Genomic DNA, 3,349 nt, shown 5'->3' with positions numbered 1-3,349 from the left:
GGTCCTTCTCCATCCTGCCTGGGGGAGGGGTCAGGCGCTCATGGCTGCCTGGGGCCTGTGGCACCCAGCCCCACCCTCCTGGGAGAGGCGGCATAACAGATGACCACAAAGCAACAGAAATTTATCCTCTCACAGCTCTGGAGACCAGAAGCCAGAAATCCATGTGCGGTGTCCACAGGGCCACGCTCCCGGGAGGCTCTCAGGAGGCTTCTCCCTGCCTCTTCCGGCTTCCAGTGGCTGCAGGAGACCCTGGGCTTCTAGATCTCTCACTTCAGTCTCTTCCTCTGTGGCCACATGGCCATCTCCTCTTCTCTTTGTGTCTTCTCCTTTTTTGTCTCTTAGCTGGACACCTGTCGTTGGATTTAGGGCCCAACTGAAGAGTCCAGGATGACACCATCTTGAGATCTTTAACTTAATGACAAAACCTGAAGACCTTTTCATCAAGTAAGGTCCCATTCACAGATTCTGGGGTCAGGACACAGACACATCTTTTGGGGGCCACCATTCCATCCACTCAGCACCTTTTATCTGACGAGAAAGGTTTCTCCATCTGTCTTTTCCAGACTGTGGCCAGGGCAGAGGCCAGAGGTTACCTACACGGACAGCTCACTGGCGCCTTCCTGTGTGGCGCTGTGCCCAGCTCCCATCTCAGCTGTCCCTTTTCCCAGGCAGTGTCCACCCCTTCCCTCTGTGCCCTCCATGGTCTTCTGTGACCTGGGGTTTGTTGTCAGCCAAAGCAATTTTTACCACGAGCTGTGGACACTCATGCAAATCACCTCACTTTTCCAGGTACAACTTGAGCTCTCATCTACATAACTGAAGGCTGCACCCAGGGCTGTAAAGAGTGAAAATGCATTGCCGAAGCATGAGCACCTCCTGCAGTTCTCAGTAGACATTTGGGAAGCGAGTGAACCGCCCTGTATGGAGTGTTTGGAGGAGGTCGGAGGGTGTCGGGCCTGAGCCAGGGGCTGCCCTGGGCCTGTGTCGGGTGGCGCATGCCAGAGGAATGAGATGGGAAGGGCATGCACGCGGGGTCTTGGCAGCCCTGGAGCTGGCCTAGATGCAGCAGCTTTCTGATAAAGCGAAATTGTTCCATCGGCTTGCCATGCTTTGCTTAGCCATCCGCACTTCACTGTTGGGCGAAAGAAGATTTTAAAGAACACCCTTAGCAGATGTCAGAGTTTGGGATTTGGGGTCCATGATACCCAAATAAGATTCCACTTGAAGAAAGTAACACGAATTGCTTTCAACACATCAATCAACAAAGAGCATTGATGGATGAAGAGGACATTGATAAATGGGATGTCTTTTTGCTGAAACTCTAACTTACAGTAAAGGGGGGAAACTCACAGAAGCCCAGTGGAAGCTTCTGGAGCCAGGAGCTACACTGACTCTCTCCGCAGAGGGTGTGGAGGGGTAGGCGGCAGTCAGCCCCCAGCCCAGAGTGGAGGGCACCTGGGCACATGTGTGATCAGAGCCCACATGGAGGGAGGCCAGGGTCCAGCTTCCCTTCACTCTGGGAACATGGGAGGCCCTGTCCCCAGGCCATGGCACACAGAGGGAGGAGCAGGAGCTCTGGCAGCCTCAGAGGTGTGTGCCAGGCCGCAGCCTATTGGAAATTCCTCAGGAGTGCATGGCCTGGGGTCCCCCAGCCTGCGGGAGGCAGAGGGGGCGAGGCCAGGTCCCCCGGCCTGTGGGAGGCAGAGGGGGCGAGGCCACGTCCACCAGTCCGAAGCCTGTCCTGCCCAGCTTGCTGTGTGACTCTGGCCTCGGGGGGAACATTATCTGAAATGTACATAGTGGAATCCAGGCAGTGTTCACCCCTTCCCTCTGTGCCCTCCGTGGTCTTCTGTGACCTGGGATTTGTTGGTCATTGGCAGAAACAGAAGATGCATTATTATTACTGTAAAAGGTAAAGTTGTCCCCTAACTGGCTCAACTGTCCGAAGACCCCCCTGCTTTTTCTGCTTTTCCTTGTGACTCAGCCTGGTCTTTCTTCTTCCAGGGTGGCATCCCACTGACTCCTACGCAGCCCCACCCTGGTTCCCTCACTCCCAGGTTCCTGGTCCCTCAGGGTCCTAGGGCTGAGTCCTCCATAGCCCCCACACACAGCCCAGAGCTGGGACTGACCCACGGCATAGGACAAACTCCTCCAGGCCTCTGAGAGAACTCCTGGGCTTTCATCTACATGATTCAGAAAGAATCTTTTTTCTCTTTCAAATGTTAATGTTTTTAATTTCCTTTTTTTTTTCATTTTTCATTATAACTGCTAAGATTTTTCTAATTGGCATGCCAACTGCTTGCAGACTTGACCTGTTTCTTGCAAAAAAAGAAAATCGCTTAATCATTAAATACAATTATTACTTCATTCTTCTATCTCTTCAGTCTACCAAACTATTATATACTCTTGATGATTGTCATTTTCGTCAAAAGAAAACTGTATCCAGAATCCCATAACACTTACAAATTAAGTGTCTTAATTTTTCAAGTTCTTTTGGGGCTTGCCATATGAGTGTATTATTCTTGCATATTGCACATTCATTTTCTATTATTTTTAATACATAATTCTACAAAATAAGCATTCTTCATGATATATATTTGTTTGAGAATTTCTTAATAAAAGATGGGAGTATTTGTTACTTAAAATTCTATCACTTAAAAGCAATTGCAAGGGTTTCCTATGAAGACAGGATAGAGAATCCACCTTGTAATAACCTCCTTTGCTCCATACTCATGATGCCTCGTTCAGAAAAAAACCCAAAGAATAGCTGGTCTCCTTAGTCCAGAGTCGGGTGCAGGTGGGCGGGGTTGAATCCTGCCCAATGCTGGTGACCGGAAACATCAGAATGGAGGGTAGAGGCAGGCTCCCTGCCTACAGTGGAGAGGTGAGGTGACCTCATGATATCAGAGTGGAAACTCGCTCTAAAGTCCAGGAGCGGCTGGGTGCGGTGTCTCACGCCTGTAATCCCAGCATTTTGAGAGGCCGAGGCAGGTGGATGGCCTGAGGTCAGCAGTTCGAGACAAGCTTGGCCAACATGGTGAAACCCCATCTCTACTAAAAATATACAAAAAGTTAGCTGGATGTGGTGGCAGGCGCCTATAGTCCCAGCTACTTTGGAGGCTGAGGCAGGTGAATCGCTTGGACCTGGAAGGCGGAGGTTACAGTGAGCCGAGATCACACCATTGCACTTCAGCCTAGGCAACAAAAGCAAAACTCCATCTCAAATAAATAAATAAGTAAATAAAGTCCAGGGTATACAGTTAGAGGTGAGCCTTAGGCACAGAGAGACCGCATGACTGGGATCTGAGCCCAGCCCTCCTGGCACTGTGGATGGACCCGAGACAACTGC

At 50.5% G+C, this 3,349-nt stretch overlaps 1 long non-coding RNA gene across 1 annotated transcript; it reads left to right on the top strand.

Annotated features, from left to right (window-relative positions):
* Positions 1–347: 347 nt before the first annotated feature.
* LOC124905142 (uncharacterized) lies at positions 348–2,645 on the top strand. Its single transcript, XR_007068143.1, has 2 exons — positions 348–444; positions 790–2,645. It is a non-coding gene; the product is annotated as an uncharacterized LOC124905142 (long non-coding RNA).
* Positions 2,646–3,349: the final 704 nt, after the last annotated feature.

This window comes from Homo sapiens, chromosome 22 (genome assembly GCF_000001405.40).
Source record: "Homo sapiens chromosome 22, GRCh38.p14 Primary Assembly".
Lineage (NCBI taxonomy): Eukaryota > Metazoa > Chordata > Mammalia > Primates > Hominidae > Homo > Homo sapiens.
The sequence above is the reverse complement of the archived record's forward strand: the minus strand, read 5'-3'. Positions and strand labels throughout refer to the sequence as shown.